The sequence below is a fragment of the Homo sapiens genome, chromosome 3 (genome assembly GCF_000001405.40).
Source record: "Homo sapiens chromosome 3, GRCh38.p14 Primary Assembly".
In the NCBI taxonomy this organism is placed as follows: domain Eukaryota; kingdom Metazoa; phylum Chordata; class Mammalia; order Primates; family Hominidae; genus Homo; species Homo sapiens.
The window spans coordinates 10,998,357-11,024,077 of NC_000003.12; the positions used below are offsets into that span (position 1 = coordinate 10,998,357).

General features: G+C 50.1%; 1 protein-coding gene and 1 long non-coding RNA gene across 10 annotated transcripts in view; one reads left to right on the forward strand and one right to left on the reverse strand.

The window, feature by feature from the left end:
* SLC6A1 (solute carrier family 6 member 1) overlaps positions 1 to 25,721 on the forward strand; it is a 46,500-nt gene that overhangs the window by 5,609 nt on the left and 15,170 nt on the right. The window contains exons 1-8 of one of the 9 annotated variants that reach the window (XM_017007071.3): positions 13,285 to 14,406; positions 15,676 to 16,518; positions 17,316 to 17,377; positions 18,703 to 19,093; positions 19,487 to 19,618; positions 20,242 to 20,342; positions 21,857 to 21,966; positions 23,980 to 24,112. In XM_017007071.3, coding sequence (XP_016862560.1) covers positions 18,856 to 19,093; positions 19,487 to 19,618; positions 20,242 to 20,342; positions 21,857 to 21,966; positions 23,980 to 24,112 — 714 coding nt within the window. In that variant the 5' untranslated portion in view covers positions 13,285 to 14,406; positions 15,676 to 16,518; positions 17,316 to 17,377; positions 18,703 to 18,855. Of the gene's footprint in view, positions 1 to 13,284; positions 16,519 to 17,315; positions 17,378 to 18,702; positions 19,094 to 19,486; positions 19,619 to 20,241; positions 20,343 to 21,856; positions 21,967 to 23,979; positions 24,113 to 25,721 lie in introns of those variants that run through there. The other 8 variants (XM_017007072.3, XM_011534027.4, XM_005265411.6 and 5 more) reach the window with 8 other exon arrangements.
* On the reverse strand, positions 7,742 to 20,868 carry SLC6A1-AS1 (SLC6A1 antisense RNA 1). Its single transcript, NR_046647.1, has 3 exons — positions 20,764 to 20,868; positions 8,836 to 9,023; positions 7,742 to 8,032 (listed from the first exon to the last, which is right to left on the reverse strand). It is a non-coding gene; the product is annotated as an SLC6A1 antisense RNA 1 (long non-coding RNA).

Genomic DNA, 25,721 nt, shown 5'->3' on the forward strand with positions numbered 1-25,721 from the left:
CAGAGATTAACATCTCCTTGGTTATGCGCAGAGTTTGGGGTCCAAAGTGTGATCATTTGGCCGGGGGGTCCCAGCAGTAACCAGGCCTGGAGGGAGAGGAAGGGATGGTTGCTCTCACACACCTATGTGCACACAAGAATGCTTTTCTCGGTGAATTGGGGGAGAAATGAACACCAGGGACCCCATGAGATTTCATAGAAGGATCTAAAGGTCTTGGTAGCCAGGAAGGTTGTGGGGAGTGTTTGTATGTGAGCCTCAGCTCAGACCCACTGGAGGAGCAGGCTGTGTGCTTCTGAGCCATGCCCAGGCAAGAGGGCAGGGATCACTCACCTCTGCCTTTGGACTGTTGCCATGCTGGAGATTGTGAAATATCATGAGTTCTAGGAGCTTCCCTCTGGGGTGCAGGGGGAGGCAAGAGACCTGAGGGTTTGACAGTTCCCTGGCTGGATGGTGGGGAGAGAACTTGTCCAGCTGGGCCCTGACAGTGAGTTCAGAGGGCCTGCTGGGCACTGGTCCCTGAGCCAAGGCTGATACTGGATGATAGGTGCTACTCTCTCCTTCTGCCAGAGAGGACCCTGAGCCCAAGGGTGGTGGAGTCACTTGCCACAGGGTGCACAGACCAAGTTTGGTCCCAGGTCTTGGTGATGCCAACCTCATGCTGCTTCTGAAAAGCACCTGAGACAAGATAACTGTTGGGGAGCCAGGGGCTTTTTCTCTGTATTCGCCATTTCTGGCTGTGCCATGCAAGGGCTGAGAAAAAGTGAAAGCAATACAAAATAAAAGTGGCCAAAAGCAAAAGCTACCAGCTTCCTGGGCACCGTCTGAGCTGCCAGCCTGCAATCCAGGCTTCACTGCCGCCTGAGCTGACCAAGCCCCTTTCCGCCCAAGTCAGATGTTTCCAGAGCTTAAGATCCAGGACCCACCTATGATTAAAAAAATAATAATAAAAAGTAGGCCTGGGGAGAGAGAAGAAGTCATCTTACTGAAGAGTATTTTTGAAAGATGGAATTTAAATGCACGCATGTATTACATATGCATTTTTAGCAGGTTGGTTCAGCATAATGACACAGAATGATCTGATATGTACATCTCTCAGTCTTGGGCTCTGCCTGTGACCTAGGCACTGAGCCAGTACTTCACAAGCATTGTCCCAGGATCCTCAATAAGGAAACTGAGGCTCAGGGAGCTCAAGAAGTTGCCCAAGGTCATACCACTGACACAGGGCAGAGCTGGGAATCAGATCCAAAGCTGCAGGGCTCCGAGGCTTGGGCTTGCAGACCTGAGAAAGAAGTGGGAGAGCCGCCTTCTGCTGGGCCTCAAGCCTGTGGGGGACCGTGGGCAGGTTCTTTCCCCTCTTGGCTTTGCATGCTCAGTTCATACAGCCAAGAGGTTTGGACCATTGGATAGGATGATCGGCTGCTCCCCGCACCAGGCGCCAGTTCTCCAGGCAAGGGGAGGGAAGTTGCACGCCCCACTTCCTCCTCTCCTCCTCCATTTCCCCCATAATAGCCTCCCCGAGACTAATGACTGAGGAAGATAAGAGCCCTTTCTCCAAATGGCAGTGAATGCCACTAATGACAGAGCAGATGCAGCACTGTTAATTATTCCACGGGTATTAAATGAAAACGCCAGCCCTGGAGGAGTTAAATAGCACCACTGATCTGGCAACGTCTGTGCTTAAAAGTGATGCCATCAAACCGGGCCGGGGCAGAGCAGCCCCCTCCCCAAACTTGGAGCTAGACAGGAGTCACAAAGTAAGGGTCCCCTCATTGGTCACAGACCCCTCTTCAGCTCAGGGTCCGAAGCAGCTCCTTGGAGACATGGATCGGTGGCTGCTTTGGGAGATTTTCTTAAAGGCCCCTGGGGGGCCTAGACTAGTTATCCTTAGGGGCAGATGTGGACAAACAATTGGACCGAATAAAACTCTGAGCACCTACTGTGTGCCAGGTCCTATTTTGGATTGTAGAAAGAAACTGGATGCTGTTCCTGCCCTTTGAAGATCCACTTGCATTGAAAACCGTAGATTCCTTAAGAGCAGGAATGCTGTGTTGTTTGGAGTCTCTGGTCCCATAGTCAAGAACACAGAGTGGGTACCTCTGTATTACTTTGATTATCTGCTGGTTCCTTGAATGAGAGCCAGAGGCCACACAGATTGTGGCCAGAGTGAGATCGGTGGGCAGAGGGACTGGGCCAGGGTCAGGCTGTCTTCTTCAGGTACAAGCAACATGACCTTCCTGGACAGCTTAGCCCCAGGTTCTGAAACAAGCCATGACCTGGATGAAGAGCCGGGTTTTCCACTTGCTGAGGCACCACAGGCGACTCCTTTGCCCTCTCTGAGCCTCAGTTTGCACATCTGCAAAATGGGGAGGATAAGGGCCATGATGGCTGCAGGCAAAACAACTGTCTCCTAACCAATCCTGGCCCTGAATCTGGAGGATCACAGAGACCTCATGAATGTTTGAAGAGTGACATTCTGGAGGAAATTCAGCAGAGAGAGAGAGTGTAGTCACCAAAGGCAGCATCTGGTTCTTCCTGTGGGTCTCACTCAAATCTCACTCCAACCCCCAATTCATCTCCAGCAGCTCAGGTCACTTGTTCCCAGCTTCCTGGACCTGGAAAGCTGTTTCTCAGGTCTTTGTAGGCTAGAGAACATCACAAAACCCACCCATTTCAGACACACCTGTGTTATAGATGGGTAAACTGAGGCCTAGAGAGGAAGAGTCCTAGGTCTTGCAGAGGCTAGGACCCAGAGCTTCTAACCCCTAACCCAGTGCTCTTTCCCTTCCACCAAGCCAGCCCAGCTCCTCCGTTAAGAAATTATTAAATAGAGTTGGTGGAAGGACTCTGGTTGCCGTGACAACGGAGCCTGTGTCCTCGGGAGATAATGGCGTTGCACAAGGCAGAGCGATGTGTGTTGAATGCTGATTCAGGACCTGCTAGAGTGAGAGTGAGTACAAGAGGAGAGTGGAGGGGACCGTGTCTAGAACTCGAGCTTCCCCAAGAAGGAGGTGCGGGACTGGTAGGGGTGGGGCAAATTGCCTTCTCTACTTCCATCCTTCCTACAGCCTTGTCAGAATGGGATACTTCCCTGCACTTCGTGGAGGTGCAGAGTCAGGTGAGGAGAGGTGAAGTGACTCATCCCAGGTCACACAACCAGGAAAGAGCCAGAGCTGGGATTATACCTCCAACCAACACGGGGGCCTAGGCTATAGGGAGGGCCTGGAAGGAGGCTCACCTGCAGGGGCAGGGGATGGTTGATGGAGACCTCTCTAAAGTCTTAAGTGCTTGTGGAGGTCCTGATGGTCCAGGAATGACAATTCCAGCCCAAGAGGAAGAGAAAACAGAATGTCAGCATAGCTAAAAGCATCAGCTTTGGAGCCAAAGTCACATCTCTCCCTGCCACTTACTAAACTGTGTAATCCTGGATGAGTCACTTTCTCTCTGAGCCTCAGTGTCCTCATCTGCAAAATGGGGATAATGCCGGCACCTACCTCATAGGATTGTGGTGAGACTGCATATCATGAGGAAGATAAAGCATCGAGCCCCAATCCTGGCCATAGCTCAATCACCAGCAGCTGTTGTTATGAACCAAAGGGGAGAGGCTGGGAAAAGGATCCACTCCCAACCATGTATCAGCTTGTAATTTGTGGTGTTGGAAGAGCGAAACTGGCTAACACAGTACAAGCATGATACATAACAGGGCTCTTCATTCCAGGCTAGTAAATATCACTAGAACAAATGAACAGCTCCATCACCAAAAATATACATAAATATTTTGCATTTGAAGAGTGTGAATGTTGTACCTCACTGCAAATGTACTGTCCTTAAAAACCTCCATGCACACCTCACTGAGGGAATGTGTGTTTTCTCTGTGCCAGCTATCTAAATGACCCCATGCTGCAAACGCTTTTGGAAAATAAACACTCTCACCCACCCACCTAGTTTCTCTTCTAGAAGCACAGCTGGTTCAGTGTACTTACCTCCCTAATCAGGGATTGGAGAACATGGGGTTAATACCCTGTGAAACCCCAAAGTGCATCATTTGCATGCTGGCAAAGATGCAGGCTGGCAGACAACCCCATTCCATTTTGGAAGCGGAAAGAGGGTGCTGGACTCAGGCATTTGGCTGTTTGAAAAGCGCTGGTAAGAGCTGGGATCCTGATGATTGAGATGCAAGCAACCATTTTGTTTGTTTCCGCAAACCTGTTTGAGCAAATCCACCCCCAGAGATAGCAACCTGTTTCTGGGTCCCCTGAGAGAGAGGGTCATTTGTTTGCTGCTGTTTCTGGGGCTGGATGCCAAGCTATGAGGCAATGAGCTGACGACCTTGGATCCTGACACCCCTATTCTATGCAGGCAGGAGAAGGGTCAGGGAGACTGATTCAGTGAACAAATAAAGACGGTTGACATTTAACCAGGATTTTAATGGGTGTGCCAAATTGCAAGATACATACACATGTCCACTTTGGGAATCATGTTTAATAAACAATTTGCCCTAAGAATTTGATTCAATCAGCATCTCCCAGTGACTCCCACCATTCCTTTATATTGATTGCCTATAGGTTAAGATAACACTGGGCCTGGCGCAGTGGCTCACGCTTGTAATCCTAGCATTTTGGGAGGCTGAGGCAGGCGGATCATGAGGTCAGGAGATCGAGACCATCCTGGCTAACACGGTGAAACCCCGTCTCTACTAAAAATACAAAAAAATTAGCCAGGTATGGTGGCAGGCACCTGTAGTCCCAGCTACTCGGGAGGCTGAGGGAGGAGAATGGCATGAACCCGGGAGGCAGAGCTTGCAGTGAGCTGAGATTGCGCCACTGCACTCCAGCCTGGGCGACAGAGCAAGACTCCGCCTCAACAACAACAACAAAAAAAGATAACACTGGCCTGCCTTCCACCCAGGACTTTTTCCCATCACTAACTAAAAATATAAATGAAAGCCCTGATCAGGTGGTTTATTATAATATCTGCCAGGTATCAAGCATTTACTATGTCCTAGATGCTGTACTAACTACATATTTCCCCATTTAATCCTCATAGCAGCCCTAGAAGTAGGTGTTATCACTTCTGTTTTAGACAGAGAGAGTAGATGACTAACCTACAGTCACACAGCATTGAACCAGAGCTGAAACTCAAAACTGGGTGTCCTTGCCCCTAGGGAAGGACAAATTTTCTTTAAGTCCCACGAACAATGGGCATACTTATGAAGAGCTGCTGCTTGGGATATCATAGAGTGATCAGAAGTTTGTTTGTCAGGAGCCATGATAGGGGCAGGCAGAAGAGGGCATTGCTCATTGTTCATGGGACTTAAAGAAAATTTGTTCAATAAAAATCTGATTTTTAGCCAGACATGGTGGCACATGCCTGTAGTCCCAGCTACGTAGGGGGCTGAGGTGGGAGGATTGCTTGAGCCTGAGAGACAGAGGTTACAATGAGCCGAGATCATGCCACTGCACTGCAGCCTAGGTGACAGAGTGAGACCCTGTCTCAGAAAAAAAAAAAGAATCTGATGTTACCAAATGGGTAGACTGTTCTTGCTACATAGGAGTTTCCACTTTACAAAAACAAGGGGCTCTATACCATAAAATTCCTTTCCACAGCTAAGTGAGTGAGTCAAGAACAGATGCACTGGTGAACGTGAGCATTCAAGTCTTTTAAAAATAAAATTAGCCTTTATATTGTGGGAAAATATTTTAGACCCTGGAATCTGACCCTTAATTGACTCTGAAAATACACGCCTCCCTCATTCTTGCAGACTATTCTAAAGCAGAGTCTCTCTGCGGTTTTTTAAATCCAACTGAGCTTTTATTAAGAGACCAATAGGATTTGTTGTTTCCCAAATATAAAACTATAACACCAAACATGCTTTTTCAAACTTCACCACCCCCAAGAGTTTGACATATCCCCCAGGAAAGGGGCAATATTAACCCTCATCCATCTTCCACTGCTTAGAGAAAGAGTTCTACTGAGTGACTAAGATTGTACCGTGTATACAAGGATTGCAAATTCAGGGGCCATTGAGGGCCAGACAGGTCACAGAAATGAGTAAAGAGGTCAGCGATAGGATGACAGTAATGGTGGGACTTGTAGTAAACTAGAAAACACATCACCACTTCCCTTCTCCAAAGCATGCAAGTTCAATTTCTAAAATTCAAATCTGATACCACTCAATCAAGCATAGCTGTGGGACCCATTCGGCTCAAAACCACCACGTTGAGATCCCTGGTGGTTCTTATTGTGACCTTGTGTGATCTTGATCCAGACAGTTTCTCTTTGGGGCTCAGTCTGATTGTCTCTAGAAGGGGCTGATAGAGCCTGCAGAGCTGCTGAGAGAGAAATGCAGTCCCAGGTGTGGACACTTAATAAGGAGCCATGGCGCTGTCTGCAGCCACTGTCACGGATATGCCTTCTGCGACCCTAAGCCAGCTCTCTGTTTGGGCTGTGCTCCTGCACGTCACTTATTTAGTTCATCGTTTAGTTCAGCCAGCCCTTGCAGTGTTATTTTTTCTTTTCCCCAAATCTGAATGCTTAAAGGGCCTTTATCTTAATGCCCGTCGGAGCCTTCCAAGCACATCTTGAACAGGAATGAACAGCTATTTTAACCCCACGGGCTTCTTACAAGTGTGTTTTAAAAGGCAAAGAGCGATGTAAAAGAATGGCAAAAGGTCATCGTGCCGCTCTTATTTCCTGGTCTAAGTCAGTCCTTTCTGGCCGGTTGAGCACAGGGCTTTTACAGAGGCGTCCCCTGGAACTGAAGTCCTCCAGAAAGCCCCACACCCCTCAGAGGCAGGAGGAAGAAAGGAGCCTGGAACAGGTGGTGAGGGTGCAGAGGGTGGGCACCCGGACCTGTTCCACAGGGGCTCGCCCTCGTGCCCAGCACAGGGTTGGGTGCTCAAGCTGGCAATGGGAGACAGCTGCCCTGAGTGGAAGGTTGAGACTAATGGGCTGGCCCCCAGCAAATACAGTCAGAACCAACTGAAGGAAGTCAGTGGAACAGGCCCTGCAGCCTGGGTTCAAAAATCCCGGCTCCTCAGCCGCTTTTGACCTTGGCCTCCGCCAACCTCAGGCTTCTCTTGGCTGAAAGGTAGGCTCCTTCCCTCCCTCCTTGGGTTCAGTGAGCGACACAGTGGAGCCTTGCCCAGCTCACAAGCAGTGAATGGCGCATCTGTTTTCTCTTCTGTCCTTCCTTCCTTCTGCCCTTATTTTTCCTCTTTCCCCTTTCTGATCCCTTCCTGCGCTCCTCCTTTCTTCCTCCTGTTTTCCTCCTCATCACTCTGCTCCTTTACCCCAGCCTCCTCCTTGTCTGTTTCTCTCCTCCTCTCCTTCCATACCCTTTTCTCTCCTTTCCCCTCCTTCCCACCCTCCTCTCTCTCCATCCCTCTCCACTCTTTCAAATCCACCCAGGGAGATGCCTCTGAGTTCCTGTGTCTGATCCCAGGGTTCGATGTTCCTCATCCTGCAGCAGACGTCTCTGCGGGCACCCACCAGCCCCAGCATGCGCTCCAGGGCCAGCCCAGGGGTTGACATCCAGGGCTTTCCTTACAGGAAGCAATCAAGAGAGTTTCCAGCATTAAACCACTCAGGAAGCAAGGCCAGTTTCTGCCCGAGAGCATGCCTCACTGGCCCCACAAGAAGAAACAGGCCTAAGGCTCAGTGGTGTGCTGGAGCCTGCTCACAGATGGCACATACCCAATCCTATGACCTCATATTAGTACCTTGCACAGGCCACAGTGGGAGTGTTTACACCACAGAAATCAGCAGATGCTGCAAATTGAGTCTTCTGTTTTGTTTCCTGAGAGCCCATTGTTAAAGCTTACCAGCACACCATTGCTCTGTAGACCTGCCACCTTCTCCCAAGCAAACGTTTCTGTGCTGAGGCCTTGTAAGAACAATGTCCTCTGCCATAGAGGGCAGAACCCAGAAGAGCGCATGCATATCTAGCACTGTTCAAGCTGCCTGCTGTCGGGGAAGCAGAGCGGGTGGAAGACCTGGGCCCCGTTCTTGCATAGGTGACAGTGCAGCTGGGAAGCTAAGAGAGAAGAATCCGTAATTAGTCACGAGAGAAGCCATGTTGTATAGGGCGACCAGGCCTTCCTCCTCGCCCCCACCATGGTCCTGGTTCAGGCGCTGTCCCTTATCCTTGCACCATCCCTGTTACAGCAACCTCCACCCATGCTCCCTCTCCTCTCCTCCTCCCCACACAGCTGCTGGGCGGTCTTGCCAAGTCACCATCACATCAAATCTCCCCATCTTCCACGGTTCAGGTGGCAGCCCTGGTGACCACCCCATGCCCACAGTGGAGAGGGATAGTTAAGAACATGGGCTTTGGAATCAAACTGCAGTGTCTGGGAGCTGGGAAGTTGTTTTACTGTCTGAACTTCGCCTTCCTCATCTGTACAGTGTGCAGTACAGAAATGCAGTAAATATATTAAGCACTTCCTCAGCCTTCGGTGTGATCATCATTCTTATTACAGGGTAAGATGCGCCCTCTTTTCCTGCATCAGAGCTCTTTACTACTACTGGCGGCTTCCTGGCCACGTTCCCCTAAATCACCCCAGATTCTAGCCCCCAACAAGCCTCCTCACTGTCTCCAAATGTGTTCTGTATTTTGGCTTTGTTCTATCTGCCTGGAATGGACCAGGAGTGGTTAGGGTTGCAGTTAAAAGCAAGGAGTCCGGTCCTGCTCCTCTAGCTGTGATTATTTGAAAAATATCCCCACTTCTGCTCCCTTTTCCACCAACCGCAATGCTACCCCTCCCAGTTGCCTGCCTGAACCCAGACCCCGGGGCAGGGTGCCACCTCTCCTTCTCTGCGTGCTGTGGAAGAACTTACCCCGTGGATGTGGATTGTCCATGGCCCATCTCCCAGCTGTCCCGAGAGCTCAGTGGCAGCAGGACTCAGACTCCAACTTGCATCTTTGTCCCTCAGCACCCAGCATGAGGCCCGGCTCCCCGGAGGTGCACAGTCGATGCGGATCAGATTGAAAATTGCCTTGACAAAATGAAGTTCTCAGTTGGGCACTACAGATAATTAGGGGCCAGAACAGACGTTAGTAAACCACTGATCGTGTGAGCGAGACAAGCAGGACTGGATCAGAGTGAAGTGGAGCTGGAAATTGGAGTCTGACTGTCCTGCTTGCACACAGAAGAAAGCTGAGGCACAGAGAGGGGAAGGGACTGGCATAAGGTCACACAGCTAGTAAGTTTAGAGAGAGATTTCAAACCTGTGTCTACTGGACTTCAGGGCGTCAAGCTAACTGCCCTTCCTCCTCAGGTCAGCTCCTCGCAGCAGCTGCAAGGCACGAGCCATGTCTGCAGTTGGAGGAGAGCTGGGGTCTCCAAGAGGGGAGTGCTGCCCCTAGAGGCTGGCTGCCTCCTGGGGACTCTGATTAGAGCCTGCAGCCCCACAGCTCAGCCAGAATCCCACGTGACCTCCCGGGGTCTCCCTGGATACCTGTAGGCTTTGTCCAGCGCAACCGTAGAAGCCATTTTGGAGCCAGAACTCAGAGGCTCTCATGCTAGCAGCCTCTCTTGGGTTTCTTAAAAAGAACAGCAGGCCTTGTCCTTGTGGAGGTTTGTCCTGGAGGGAGGTGGCTGCTGGGGACGGGCCATACTTGTACACCCCAAATGGAGGGTTTGGGGGGTTCCACAGGTACCCCATTAGAGACAGCAGAGTGGTTAAGAGTTTGGACACAGGAGCCCAGCTGCCTGGGTCAAGGCTTGGCATCCTTAGCTCCTAACTGGGAGACCTTTGGCACGTCACTTTAACCTCTCTGTGCCTCAGTTTACCCATCAATAAAATGGGGGCTAAAAGCAATTGAATAGACAGAAAGCATTTAGAGTGGCCCCGGCACATTAGTAAGTGTGTCCAGCTCACTTCCTCCCTGTACTGAGCTCTTCTTTTTCTTTCACCCCTTGTTAATGAAAAGTTGGGGAATTTTTCTTTTCTGTAGGCGGCTGCAGAAGGAGAACCATCCTCCTGGAATCTGTTTCACCATTGGATGGGTCTGTCATATTCCAGTAGTCGCAAAGTTGAATTTGTTCTCGCCTGGGTTGTCGGGGTGGGGATGCCCTCTGGCCTTCTTCCACATTGTGGTTTCAGAGGTGTCCTAGAAAACCTGACTTCTAGGCTCTCAGAGGCTGAGAGCAGAGGGGAAGGGCTAGAGCTTCCATTTATTCATCTGTCCTAGGACAGTGAGGCTAGGCAAACTCATCTCCATGCAGTCACATTTCTCTCCCTCTGGCATCCAGCAGCCATGCTTGGGCAGATCAGATCATGAGGCCTGATAGGTCTAATGGTTTCAGGGAATTTCACACAGGCCAGCGCCTGGGAGGCACTTTCTGGACAAGCAAATAGCACCAGACTATAACTCAGAGGGCCTGGGTCAAGTCCTGTGTGACCTTGGGTAGGCCATTTGACGTCTCTGGGCCTTAGTGCCATCATCTGCAAAATGGGACCAATGATCAGTTTAGCGTCAATGTATTTAGCTCTTGCTGAACTGGGCACGGTGCTAGAAAATTCAAATCCAGTCATCACAGAGTGGGAAGTGCTTACTATTGACCTCCTTTATTGATGAAGAAACAAAAACTTTTTTTTTTTTGAGACGAAGTCTCGCTCTGTCATCCAGGCTGGAGTGCAGTGGCGCGATCTCAGCTCACTGCAAGCTCTGCCTCCCGGGTTCATGCCATTCTCCTGCCTCAGCCTCCCGAGTGGCTGGGACTACAGACACCCACCACCATGCCCAGCTAATTTTTCGTATTTTTTAGTAGAGACGGGTTTTCACCGTGTTAGCCAGGATGGTCTCGATCTCCTGACCTAGTGATCCGCCCGCCTCGGCCTCCCAAAGTGCTGGGATTACAGGCGTGAGCCACCGCGCCCGGCCAAAACAAAAACTTTGAGAAAATAAGTAGCTTACTTGAAAATCACAGTGGGATGTTGTGAACAGTAGGCACGCGATAAATACTACTGACAAAGACACCTGCTTCTGCAAATTCCCTCTCAGGTACGTTGAGGCAGCTGAGGGGTTTATACCAAGGCATGAAACTGCTTTCCTCCATCTCTTGAGTAAGAGTATGCGGCTGGCTGGGAGTTGGGAGTCCATAAGGTTCAGGCCACTCTCAGGCTGTGTGACCTTGGGCCAGCCACCAGTCCTTGCTGGGTTTTTTTCTTCATCTATAGAATGCCATGGTAGACCAGGTGCACCAGTTTGGCATGCAGCAAGTCTGGACCAGGAAGGAGACCAGCTGGGTCGTGGCCCTAAGCACCACTGTGCATGGGGCTGAGGTCCAAGAAGGGAGGCCTCCCATTTAGACCCCAAGCTGTCCCAACCAGCTCATTTCTCCTGTAGCCTGCATCCCACCACAGGCCTGGCTGGCCTCTGAGGTCTTGTTAAAATGCTGGGCCTTGGAGACCCTCTCTGGCGGCTCCCTTTCCATTAGAGCACCTTCTCCAGGGAGCTTTCCCTGACCTCCAGGACAGCGCGTGGCAAGCACTGCCCACAGCACCGGCTGTCCCACACAATTCCAACCTCCCTCTAACCTTCTGTACCTGATCATCCACTATTAATTGGTCTTCACATTTGTATAACATTTTTCAATTACAAAGCACTTTTGCGGCCATTCATCTCTTTGAGTGGCAGCCTAAGCTGCTATTTATTGACACTTCCTGTGTGCCAGGCCCTTGGCTGGCCTCTTTCCATGCATTATCATGCAATTCTCAGAGCAATTCTGTGAAATCCACATTTACAGATGAGAAAATTGGGACTCAAGCAAGCCAGATATGTAGCCCTATTACACAGAGATTTGAACGAAGTCCCATGAAATAATCTGGGTCATTCCTAACAACAGCTTCTGAAGCTTTCCTATGTGCCTAAATCACGGGACCTGTTTAAAAATCAGCTTCTCGTTCCACAGGTCTTGAGTGGGGCCCAAGATTCTGCATTTCTGACAGGCTCCCAGGTGATGCTGATGCTGTCTCTTGAAGAACCGCACTTTGAGAAGCAAGGCCCTGAATCACTGGGCAATTTGAGACCCCAGGCTGGCAAGGCTGTTTCCTTATCTGTCAGATGGGTGAGGTAGCCCTGGCTTACATAGATGGAATGACTCCCGGATGATATAGTGCCTGTGAAATGCCTGGCACACAATAGGCGCTCAATAAATGCTAGCTCTTCTCCTTCGATAGGAGCTGGCATGAGTCTGGGTACACAACGGATGCTCAATAAAGCCTTGTCCAATGGATTGAGCCTAGCATTTTTCCCGAAGGCAGAGAATAAACTGTATTATGTTTCCCCTTGGAATGAAGCCAAACTCAATATTAATTTCTTTCTTAAACCACAGAGTTTCAAAAAGAAATAAAGGCAAACTAGAGTGATTGCAGTCTGAAGCGAGCCTCTGTAATTTCTGTAATTACAGAACGAGAGCAAAGCAAAGCAGGCATGAGCACAGTCTCATGGAGGGAGTGGGGTGGGGATAGGGGGAGGGGAAGAGCAGGCCCTACTCCCAGACCCACTACTCCCCGTCCTCGATTCCCTGGCTTTTCAGGGCTCCCCACTCACTCCATGGCGGGGCCATGGCCTGGGACAATGGCAGCCCTGAGACTCCAGCCCTGGCCTCTCGGTCTCTGCCTAGGTCCCCACCCCACGCAGCCGCCTGTCCCTCTGATGCAGTGGGACAGAGGGAGATTGTCCAAGGCGGTTTCCACACACTTCCCTCCCCCTTGCCTGCCATCTGGTCCAGGGCTGGGCTGCTCACAGCCAATCATCCAGCAAGGCCCATGGCCCACGGGCCCCACCCCCAGAATAGATCCTGGGTGTCGGTGACACTTCCCCCAACTTCTGCCCATCCAGCCACCCCCATGCAAGCCACCATCATCTCTCTGGACTGGCAGCCTCTGATCATGTATCCCTGCTTCCCCCTTGCCCCTATGCAGCCTTTTCTGGGCAGCCAGAGGGAGACTCTTAAACTAACCGTAAGTCAGATCTCCCACCACTTCAACCCCCACTTCCTCCCATCCCACTTAGAATGAAACCTGAATCCTTGCTGTGACCTCTGAGACCTGTGTGACCTGGCCCCTGCCCACCACCTCTGCCTGAATCCATTTCCTCTCACACTGGACTCCAACCACCTTGGGCACCTTGGTGTCTTTCAAAAGTGCCAGGCTCCTTCCTGCCTCAGGGCCTTTGCACTTGCTGCTCCCTCTGTTTGAAATACTGTATCCCAGAGAGTCCCATTTCTGGCTCCTAATTCAGACTGAATTTTTTTTTTTTTTTTTTTTTTTTTTTTGCTCAGGCCAAATAAAACAAGCCCAAGGGCCAGTTTTGACCCATTTTGCCACTTCTGATGTAGAGCTTCCAAACTGTACATGTTTTCTTTCCCTACAAAGCATCTTGTCATTCAGAGATTGGCAGAGGAATTCTTTGTGCTTGGTTTGGCCCCATTTTTATCAATGGCTTTAACACTTGGTCATAGAGCATCCACTGAGGAAGGATGGGATATCCTGGGAATGTTTTACCATCTTCCTGCCTGGAGTGTCTTTCACTAACTCCGTCCTTCCCAGAGGCCCCATGAGCGAGTCATCTTCTGGTTTACGAATCTGATCCCATTATCAGCCCTGCCCCATCCCTGCAGCTAGTCCCCAGGTTCCTTAGTCCGGTGTCCAAGACCCTTCATATACTGACCTTCCTAGCTTCACACTGTATACTTTAGTACATGTGTTTCCCTCCACTTGGAACGCCTTTTCTCTCTTTTTAAACCTGATGAACACCTATTCAACCTTCAAAGCCTTGCTCAAAGGACGCCTCGCCTAGGATACTTTCTCTGGCTGTATTAATGCGTTTCTTCTAGGCCTCCCGTGTCTTGTTCTTACACCTCTTGCAGCACTTATCACAGGGTATTATGATCAGCTATAGGCAGAAATATTTCTCCTTCTAGGCCATGACCTTGACAAGGGCAAGGGTCTTGTCTTATGAAATTCTCACACCCTGAGTGTCCACCCCAGCTCCACCCACATAGGAGGCCTCAGTAAGGATTTACAGAAATGAATCTTTCTGCTGGAACCTGTTAGTTCACTGATTCGGATTCTGGTGACCAGGGTGTAGTTCAGAATACAAAATGCTTGAAGAGACGGCTCCATTGTCGTTTCAGCACATAGCATGTGCTCAGTAAATACTTGCAGAATGAATGTGTTAGTGAGTGAGTACAGAGGACCTGACATGTCATCACTGGTGGTCTCACGTTAATAGTGCCCTTTGAACGTGGCTTTGGTGGAATTAAGTTAATCGTGGTATAGTATGCACCTGAAGGAATGTGGAGCCGCATGCTGGGTCTGCAGAATGTTGTCACCTGATGAAGAAGAACTGGAAGACGCTGGAAGAAGGCTTTGGAAAAATGCCCAGATCATGAGAAGGTGAGAGGTGTTTCTTCCGCCTGCTCCACCAGCAGGTAAAGGAGGCTGATCACAGGCTGGCACTCAGGGCGAGGTGGAAGAAATGCGTGGTCTTGCCACTACAGACCCGCAGAGCTGTCCTCCAACATGATCCAAGAGAGCCACAAAACACAGGGGTGTGTCTTGGGAAAGGAAAAGTAACAACTTGCAAAAAGGTTGGTTCTGCTTCAGAGAAATGTTCTAGAAAGACAGCCAAGTTACCCTGCCGTGAACTCACACACACCTGTGCTTTCTGCATGTTATGTTTCATAGGAGAGGGAAGTGCCGGGAATTAAAATTGCGGATGCACTGTTCCCCAGGTGTGTGGGTGAGGCACGCTTCCTGGGACCACTCCATTTAAGCATTGGGTCCCAGGCATGTTCACTACTAGCAGGAGGCTCTTTATCAATTTCCTCCCGTGGACCAGATGATTGGGATTTTTTTTTCTACCAGACTTTATTACAGAATAACTATTTTTGTATTAACTAAGCAAACAAATGTACCGCTCCCAGCTTCTGACTGGCCCAAGGTGCTGAGCTAGACCTCTTTGCTTTGGTACAAAGAGAGCCCAAAGCCAAGAGACTTGGCATTTCTGTTAGCTGGTATTCCCCAGGGTGACTAAAAGGATGATTTCCATTGGATTTTTTAAAATGCTGAAGACACTGAAAGACCTGAATAGTAAGCCCGTAATAAACGTTATTCGGTATTATTATTGTTGTTGTTGTAGCCTTCTGGGAAGTTGCGAATGCCAAATTAAGAACAATGGACCCATACCCAGATGGTGGCGATTGCAGTGATAACAATGGCTGAGATTTCCTAAGCCCTAACTATATGCCAGGCATAGTTGTACATGCTTTACACACATGATCTCATTTAATCATCACCATAACCCTCGGAAGGAGTTATTATTATCTTCCCATTTTATAGATGAGGGTCAGAGAGGTGAAGTAACTCACCCAGCATTAGTAGGTGTTGGAGGGAGCCGAGGTCTGTCTGACTCAGCACCAGGGTGGCTTTGCTGCTGTGTAAGTCAAAGAGCCTTCTCCGTTCTAAATCCTCAAAGAAGTATGAGTTATATCAATTCATGGCTTTACTTTGTTTATCTTCATATGTGCCACATCTTCTAAAAGGAAAACTCCAAATATAGTCATGTGGCTCCTCCTAGGGAATTATAGGCATTTGGCTGAATCTGAATACATATCCCCGTATTCCAGAAATTGGAAATCACATGTATGTCTGCTTTATGGTGAGGTCTTCAGAGCAGCCACCGTCTCTGATCGTTCAGGGCTTGGCATGAGGAGGTGCTCAATATAGTCATGGAGAAGAACTCATGGACTGAACTTCCTGGTGAACCAGAGGGATGGTGCAGAGATTTAAGATTGCAACAGGAACCCCCAAGCCAATGTAAGCAAAACATCTATTTCATGACTATGGGAATGTTTTGTAAAATCCAAGCACCAGCCTGAAGAAAGCCTGGAACTGCAAACTAGGAGCTTTGAGACACTCTATCTTTTGATGTCTAGTTTTCTCCTTCCTCAGCAGACCAAATCTCACTCTGAGTACAAGATGGGCAGAGGATGGCTGCCCCAGAGTCCCCAAGTCACTAGCAAAACTGCCCTTCTTCCTGGGTCCCATGCCAAATTCCAGAGAAGGAATTTGATTGGCTAGCCTGGGTCAGGTGGTCAGTCCTGATTCAAGGTGATTGGATCATTTTGAACAAATATGGCAGCTGGAGCCCACAAGGGTAGATCATGGGACCGTTAAGGGCATCATTGTTACCAGAGTTAATGGCTGAGGCTGCTCTCTCCTGCGTATCCCAAGAGTCCCTGGTAGACCACAGAATCGGCCGCCTCCTACTATCCTGCCATTCTCCAGAAGGGGAGGCAGGCACCCTACTGAGTCCAGAGCTCTCTCTAACATTGCCATGCCCAGGCCAGGATCTAGATGGGCATCCAAGACCAGCCTGTGTGCCGTGAAGGAGTTCAAAGTGAGCAGGCCATCCCTGAGAACGAGGAGCAGGGGTGTTAGGAAAGTTTGGATTATCTGAAGATGGCCTGGTTCTCCGTGAACTCTGGGAGGAGATGATGGTGTTTGGTAATGGGGACTGCATGCGAGGGGCTGGAGGGCGAGTGCACAGCAGACTGGGCCCCCGCCGGGCAAAGCTGCGGGGAGGAGGCCGCGTGGGGAGGGCCAGGGCCACGCCGCACCTTGCTTTGGCGCAGCTCCCAGCTCTGAGGGAATGCAGACCGCTTCACATGTTCTGGTTTGTTCTGAGGGTTCCATAAGTTTATTTTTTGTTATATTATTAATTTAAATCAGTTTTGTAGAGCATTATAGAAATTAAAAAAGCACAAAGAAGAAAACGAAAGTCACTCAAAAACTAAGCATTGTAACCATCTTTGGGTATATCCTTTTTTAAAATAGATGTGGGGGGTGGGGGCAAAATGGGATAATTCGAAATAAACTGTCTAGAAACCTGCCTTTCTCACCCCAAAACAAGGTGCTCTTTCTCGTGTTCTTACGTGGTCTTTTTGTTACATTTCCACAAGTTTGGATGGAGGACAGAGAAAAGTCTCAGCAGCCCCTCTGTTGGTTTCTCTTTTCTTCTGATAAAATTATGGAATGTCTTCTCCACGCTGCCCTCATCCCACGCCCACAGCTGTCCCGAGGGCAGCGGGCCCCACTCCTGCATGTTCCCAGCACCCCAAGGGCCAGTGCCATGCTGCATGGTCTCGCTGCGGCCACCCTGGCTGGGGACGCTCTGCGGGACACGCGCACAGCCCAGACGCCCTGGCAGGCTTCCTGCACCCCTGCTGCCCTCTGTAGGAGCTGCCTGCCTGCCCCATCGCTGCTTCACCATCCCTCCTCTCCTCCCCTTCTCTGCTTTGCAGGATCTCACCCAGGGTGGCAGAAGGAGGCCTTCTGGAGCTGACCCACCCCCGACGACCATCAGGTAACGTCAACAGCCCCGGTAACAACATCCATGAGTGGAGTTCTCTCTCTTAACCAGGTTGGCGAAAAGCACTCTTGCAGCGATTACAGCTGAGTTTTGATGCAACTCTACAAGCCAGAGGGGATTGCCCCCATTTTATACATGGGGAAACTAAGCACACACAACAGCAGTACTTGGTAGTAGTATTGAGTAGTAGTACTGAGCAGTAGTACTCAGCTGGTAGAAGGCAGACCGGAGATTTGAACTCAGGACTAGTCTCAGCCCAATTTCCTCCACTGTACTGTACCCCACGCTGCCCCTGGAAATAAAAAGGTAAGAAGGCTGCAGAGTGTCAGTAGAATATCTTAGGGTGATTGAAGGCTGAAAGAGGTCATCTAAACCAGTGGCCCTTAGCTGAGGGCCAGGGCTGGGCTACCAGTATAAGAATCTCCTTTGGCAGAGCTTGTTAAAAGTATAGACTCAGGACTTCCTGCAACCCAGTGAGAGATGTACCAGTGTCATCCTCATTTTAAAAGATAGGGGCACACAGAGGTTGAGTGTACTTAAGGTCACACAGCTCAAAAGTGGTAAAGTCGGGGCAGGGTGCAGTGGCTGGCTCACGCCTGTAATCCCAGCACTTTGGGAGGCGGAGGCGGAGGCGGGTGGATCACGAGGTCAGGAGATCGAGACCATGGTGAAACCCCGTCTCTACTAAAAATACAAAAAAAAAATTAGCTGGGCGTGGTGGTGGGCACCTGTAGTCCCAGCTACTCGGGAGGCTGAGGCAGGAGAATGGCATGAACCCGGGAGGCAGAGCTTGCAGTGAGCTGAGATGGCACCACTGCACTCCAGCCTGGGCAACAGAGCAAGACTCCATCTCAAAAAAAAAAAAATGTGGTAAAGTGGACTGTGATCAGAGGTCGTAACTCCTAGGCTCTGTCGTCTTCACCCAGACACCTCCGTAGTGGGGACACCTTTCTCCCCATTCAGCCACAGGTGGAGCTTCTTTCTTGCTCACCCTGGCGATGGCTAGTATGGCCGCAGAGTGTGACAAGGCTCCCAATTGCATCCTTGGAGGCAAAGTTAAAGATTTTATGATTAAGTACTTAACATTTCCTGTTGGAAGTTTGGTGGCCTCAGATTTCTCCTCTGAGCAGGACATACAACAGAGGGTTGGACACAGATGGCCAGAGTTGAAGCTAGGCCAGGAAACATCGCTGTGTCTTTGGAAACAAAAGTCACCTTCCTTCCTCCAGGAGCAAGGGCGGGTGAGAGGAAGAGGGCTTATAGAGAGCCTTTTCAAGCCCCTAGCTTGTTTATGGGTTATTTTGTTTTTGTCATTTTAGGGTGAGGCAACTCCAAGGTCCTACTCTCTTTCTGTGCCTGTTACCCACCCCGTCCTCCTAGGGTGCCCTTGAGCCGCAAAACTGCTGTCCACGTGGACCGGGGGTGACATCGCACGTCCATCTGCCAGGACCCCTGCGTCCAAATTCCGAGACATGGCGACCAACGGCAGCAAGGTGGCCGACGGGCAGATCTCCACCGAGGTCAGCGAGGCCCCTGTGGCCAATGACAAGCCCAAAACCTTGGTGGTCAAGGTGCAGAAGAAGGCGGCAGACCTCCCCGACCGGGACACGTGGAAGGGCCGCTTCGACTTCCTCATGTCCTGTGTGGGCTATGCCATCGGCCTGGGCAACGTCTGGAGGTTCCCCTATCTCTGCGGGAAAAATGGTGGGGGTAGGTGCTGGCCCGGGGACCTCCTGGCTGGGTCTGGACCCTGCAAAAAGGATCCTGCTTAGGCATTTTTCTGGGGCAACTGTAGGAGAAAAGCCCCCCTAAAGACTCCAGAGGGAGCACCAGGCCCCATTTCTTGTTTCTTGTCCCTTTATCAAAAGATTCCTGAAGGACAATTGTCCTCTGTTAATGATACCAAGAAATTCATCTATTCACCTGCAAAAAATGGGATGTATTTCACATATGGCTTTCCTTGGGCCTGTGGTTGGCTGTGGGTCCTGCTTTTGAGGCAGGTATAAAGAAATACTGGATGGGGACCCAGACCCACGACACTCCCTCTACCAGGGCGGGTCTTGAAAGTCTTGGGGCCACGAGCTCTGTCTTCTTTACCTGCAGGAGCCTTCCTGATCCCCTATTTCCTGACACTCATCTTTGCGGGGGTCCCACTCTTCCTGCTGGAGTGCTCCCTGGGCCAGTACACCTCCATCGGGGGGCTAGGGGTATGGAAGCTGGCTCCTATGTTCAAGGGTAAGTCTGCAGATCAGGGACCTGGGTGGTGGTGCCCCTGCCCACACACACCTCTTGCCCTCTGGAGAGAGCGAGCTGTCTACCCAGACCAGGGCTGACATCACATATCCATCCACCAGGTGCATATCTGAGCAGAGTGAGGGCTGTTGCAAGGGGCCAGGTGGCAGATGACAGTGCTGGTCAGAAGCTAGGGAGGTGGAGGTGGAGAGGCCCAATCCAGAGTCCCCCGCACATCAGCCTGCTCTGTCCTGTTAGCCCATCTATTTCCTCTGCAAGGGCTGGGTGTGACTTTCTTTGCCTCGTGCTCAGTGCCTGACAGGCACCCAGGTAGATACATGGTGAGTCATGCTCACTGACCGAGGGCCTGGGCCTCACCTCGTCCGGCAAGCTGAGACCCCAGCCCTGCCTGCCACCAGTCTGCACTGGGCCCCAGACATGAGTCCTGGCCCCCTGGCTTGTCAGATGTACATGACCTTCAGCAAGTCACTGCCTCTCTCTTAGCCTCAGTGTCCTCAGTAATGCCTGTCTCCGAGATCAATAAGATTGTAGAGGTCATGGAACATGCCACGACAGTTCATGTTAATTCCGTATTAAATGGACGCGTGTCTGTGTTCCGCTCCCAGGCGTGGGCCTTGCGGCTGCTGTGCTATCATTCTGGCTGAACATCTACTACATCGTCATCATCTCCTGGGCCATTTACTACCTGTACAACTCCTTCACCACGGTGAGTGGTCCCTTTGACCACCCCATCCAGCAGAAGCCACACCCAGAGCCCACCCTTGGCCCACCACGGCCACCACTCTGCTGACAAGGCCATTCCTCCAGGAGTGGGGAACTTGGTTTGTCTTTTGTGGGCCTTGGTCTCCCCACAACAGCCATAGCCTCACAAATTTAGCATCTCCTGTGAGACAGGCACTCCTTGCAGGCTCACATCCAATCCTCATGACACCCCTCTAAAGTGCGTATTGTTAGCACATTTTATATGGACACAGACAGCCTGGGTTCAAATCCTGACTCTACTATATACCAGCTGTGCAACTTCAGAAAAGAGACTTAACCTCTCTGAGTCTCAGTGCCCTCATTTATAAAATGGAAATAAAATTAGAACCTGCCCCAGTTCCTCAAAAAATTAAACATAGAATTACCATATGATCCAGCAATTCTGCTTCTGAGTAGATACCTGAAGAATTACAAGCAGCTCTCAAAGAGATATTTGTACACTCCTGTTCACAGCAGCACTATTCACAGTAGGCAAAAGGTGGAAGCAAGCCAAGCGTTCACTGATAAATGAATTGGTAAGCAAAATGTGGTCTATACATACAATGGAATGTAATTCAGCCTTAAAAGGAAGGAAATTCTGACGCATGCATCAACATGGATGGACCTTGAGGATATTATGTCAAGTGAAATAAGCCGGTCACAAAAATACAAATAGTGTTTGATCTTGCTTATATGAGTTCCCTAGAGTAATCAAATTTATAGAGACAGAAAGTAGAATGATGGTTGCCAGGGGTTGTGGGTAGGGGGATGAGGAGTTGTTGTTTAGTGGGTGGAGTTGCAGTTTTGCAAAATGAAAAAAGTTCTGGAGCTGGATGCTGACAATGTTAGGCAATACATTTCTCACAATGTACTCCCATTGTTAAGTGACACATGACTGTATTTGCAGAGGTGTGGCAGGGTTCAGGGAGCTACATTATGGGTATACTTAATGCTTCTAAATTGTACAGGCACCAATAGTTAAGATGGTAAATGTTGTGTGTATTTTATCAAAATTAAAAAATGAAAGAAAACAAAAAGTGAAACCCACCTCATAGGGTTCTTGTGAGGATTAAGGAGCAGATATGTGTAAGGAACTTAGAACTGCGCCTGGCAGAGAACAAGCCCTGTAAGTGTTTGCTGGTGTCGTTGCAGTGAGAGTTAGATGGGCAAGGTCTCTTGCCCAAGGTCACATGGTGGGGAAGTAGCCCCGGCTGCAGCTTGGAAGGCTGTTCTCACAGTGAACAGGTTGAGGTTCAAATCTCAGCTCTGGCACTTAGTAGCTGTGCATTCTCAAGCAAGTCACTGTCCCTCTCTGATCTGTCAAATGGGGATCATAATGCTACTTGCCTCCCAGAGCTGCTGCGAAGGGGAGGTGTGAGGAGGCTTGGGGACCATGAGGGTGGGCAGGGTGCACTGGGACCACTCATGCCAGCCCCTGGGAGCCCAGCAGGATGCGTCCTCATGACTGTGTCCTTGCAGACACTGCCGTGGAAACAGTGCGACAACCCCTGGAACACAGACCGCTGCTTCTCCAACTACAGCATGGTCAACACTACCAACATGACCAGCGCTGTGGTGGAGTTCTGGGAGTGAGTATGGGGCCATCAGGGGATGGCAGGGACGGGGCATGTCAGCCAGAGCCCGGCAGGAGACAGAGGCCCCTCGGAGGGGTAACAGAAGAGGTGGATAAAGGGGCTACAGTCATGTGTCACATCATGACATTTTGGTCATCAGTGGACCACATATGCAACGATGGTCCCATAAGATTATAATACCATATTTTTACTTTACCTTTTCTACGTCTAGACATGTCTAGTACCGAAATGCATTGTGTTACAGTTGCGTACAATATTCAGTACAGTCATGTGCTGTACAGGTTTGTAGTCTAGGAGCAATAGGCCACACCGTATGGCATAGGAGTGTAGCAGGCTAGACCATCTAGGTTTGTGCAAGTACACGCTATGATATGCACACAACAACAAAATTGCTTAAGAACGCATTTCTCAGAACATATCCCTGTTGTTAAGTGACACATGACTATACTTGCAGAGTTGTGGCAGGGCTAAGGCAGCCACAAGGGATGCTGAAGACCTTTTCTCCCCAAAAAGAGTTGGACCACAGATAGAGCCATGAGACACACAAACTCTGACCTTTGATAGCAAAACCCAGCTACTCACAAAGCCAAGGTCCAGCAGGAAGAATACATTCCCCAACATCTCTGCCTCTAATCTCCTGCCAGCTCCTCCCAATGGTCAAACCCAGCTAGAAGCCAGAGGGCAGGGGACCAGATAATGTGGCCATAGTCGTCAGCATCCTGGGGCCTGGCACAGAGTGGTCAAGGGGAAGAGTGGATCAGAGAGGCAAACGGAGGGGAATAACCAGCATAGCCAATTAGAATCACCTGGAGAGGTTGACCACATCCTGATTCATCCTGAAAACCAGCCTGATCTACTTACGAACCTAGAGTCACTCGGAATAAACATGCACACACACTCTGGCCATAGTGAAGGCCGTGCTGATTGTATCTTCAGGGGAGTACCTTGTAGAGATGTGTGTCGGGGGTCACTGATGTGACACAATGAGGTGCTGGGGCCCAAATCTCTCTGGCATGAAGGAAGCATCCATGCTGGACAGCTCAGAAGGATCCGGGAGCAGTCTAGAAGGTCTCAGAGCACCTTGGATAAGCTCCCAGGAGGAGCTGTTCTCAGGCACTGTCAGAATCAGAGTTGCCTGATCTCTTCATGGCCAATGTCCATGGTTACACTGTTTCTTTACAAATAAAAATCAAATTCTGCTCTGGTGGGTTCTGCTTTCTGGCATCTCCCGCATGCTGCTCTCAGGCACGTTCGGACTTTTCATTCAACCATTTATTCAGTAAACACTTCTTGATCTCCTACTATGTGCCAACTGATGACAGGCACGGACATGCAGACAGGCAATGGCACCACCAGGCGGCCAATGCGGAGAGGAGGGAAGCCCAGGCAGCTGGGCTGCGGGGACCTCAGGGAGTCCCCTGGACCACCCCAGGTCGGGAGTGGCATCTAGAAGAGAAAACTGCAGGGCAGGCAGGTGCTGGAGAGAAACAGTGTGAAGGCTGGGAGGCAGATGAGGTCAGGCCAGGCACCGGCAAACAGCTGCAGTGAGTGCTGAGAGGAGAGAGAGATGCAAGGGCCTTGAAAGGCTGGCCAGGGAGTTTGGGCTTCATTCTGAGAACAAGCGGGTGCTATTCATCGCAGTAAGCAGAGGAGTGACATGATCAGACTTGCAATTTAGAAGGCTCTCTGGGGCTGGAGAGGGGATAGAGCAAAACTGAAGGCAGGGTCCCACTAGGAGGCCACTGGGCCATCCAGATGAGCAGTAGTGGTGGCTGACTAAGGCCCTGGCAGGTCCTGTTCTCTTTGATCTCTTGACCAAACAGCACTTTCTACTGATTAGTATAATGGGCCTCACAGTCCCCAGCTACCTCTTGAATCACGGTGATGACGGTGTCAGCACAGTTCTAGGGCGGGGATATCATCTGTGGCCATGCCCTGGGCACCCCTGGGTCACTCCGGCTCCCACCAGCTCTGTGTAACTTTCTCCTCCCTCCACTGTTTGACCAGGCGCAACATGCATCAGATGACGGACGGGCTGGATAAGCCAGGTCAGATCCGCTGGCCACTGGCCATCACGCTGGCCATCGCCTGGATCCTTGTGTATTTCTGTATCTGGAAGGGTGTTGGCTGGACTGGAAAGGTAAGGGATATATGTGCACAGTGGGGACAGGAGGGCACTGGATAGAGGAACAGGTCTACAAAGGAAGCTCTGCCCACAACTCCCAAGAGTCCCATCCAACCTTGAATTAAGCAGGTCCCTTCAACACTCGGTGTGTCCGTTTCTTTTACTGTGAAATGGGAATAATAACATTACCTTACCTTCTGGGGCAGTTGTGAGGATAAAAGGAAATAGTGCAAGTCAAGTACGCAGCACAGTGCGAAGCTCACAGTGAGTCCCATGGGATTCCACTGGGCCTAACAGAGTCATCTCAAAACAGAGGGCAAATGTTGCTCCTGGACTGTTGAACAAACTTTTCCAGAGCATCTGCTCTGCACCAAACCTTGTTCTAGGTGCAGAAACTCCAGAGATGACAGCTTCACATCCTGACCCTTGAGGAACAACAGAGATGAATAGGTTAATGGTTAGATTCAGGCTCTGTATTAAGCAGTCCATGAGTTAAGATCCCAACCTCACCATTTACTAGCTGTGAGCTCAGGCAAGTCACTTTGCCTCCCTGGAACTCAGTTTCCTTCTCTGTAAAACGGGGCTAATAATTATACTTATCTGTTGGTTTATTATGATAATCAGATGAGATGGTGCTTTTGTCAAGCGCTCAGCACCCAGCAAGGAGAGTTGTTATTACTCTTGTTTTTATTCTCAGCAAGTGCAGAGCAAATGCCAAGCTGGGATGTCTAGCCCAGGGACACCCGGGAGGTGGAAAACTGGCCTTACTCCACCTTTTCTCCCTTTCAAGCCCTACCCCAGGAGCCTGGGGGCAGAAGATGGCAGTCTCTCACTGGCCCTGACCTGAAGGGAACCCGGAGGACAAGTGTGTTGTCTCAGATCTTATGGCAAGTCAAGGGCAGAGAAGGGATTTGTACTGAATAAGATGGGAGGCAGGAAGGTCAGAACTACCCAAGAAGTGAATGCAAGGTTCTAGAAGCAGTAGTAGAAATGAACCAAGCAGAACCTTAACAAATTCCACACTTGGGCAGGGCAGAGCTGATGAAAAGCTACCCTAGTTTCATCTAGTGGGAACTTCTGGACCCACTGGGTTCTCAAATCCAAGGCTGGTGTAAAAGTATCTCTGATCCATTCCTAGGACTAGGGACGCCGGAGGAGGGCACAAGTATCTCCCAGTCTAAATTTCAGGAGCAGAAAAGTATAGGGCTTATGGGCTTTGGAAGGGTTTGAGTCTCAGTCCCTGAGCTTCTAGCTGTGTGCACTTGAGCAAGCCATTTCATCTCTCTGAGCCTCAGTCCCCTCATCTGTTCAATGGTCACAATAACAGTACCTTACAGGGTTGTCCCAAAGACTGAGGGAGATGAGTAGAATGCTTAGCATATGCCTTACACATAGTAAGCACTCAATACATAGTATCAATTATAATCATTTTGGAGTGGTAATTAGAGTTCGTGCTACATTAGGAGACTGGCCACTTCTTGGGGACAGAGAGTAGGGCCCCCTCACTGCATATATTGAGGATGTCAACCAATCCATCCACAAGCATTTATTGAATACCTACTATGTGCCTGGCTTCATGCTGAACACGGAAGGCACAGGGAAGTACGAGACCAAGGTGACATAT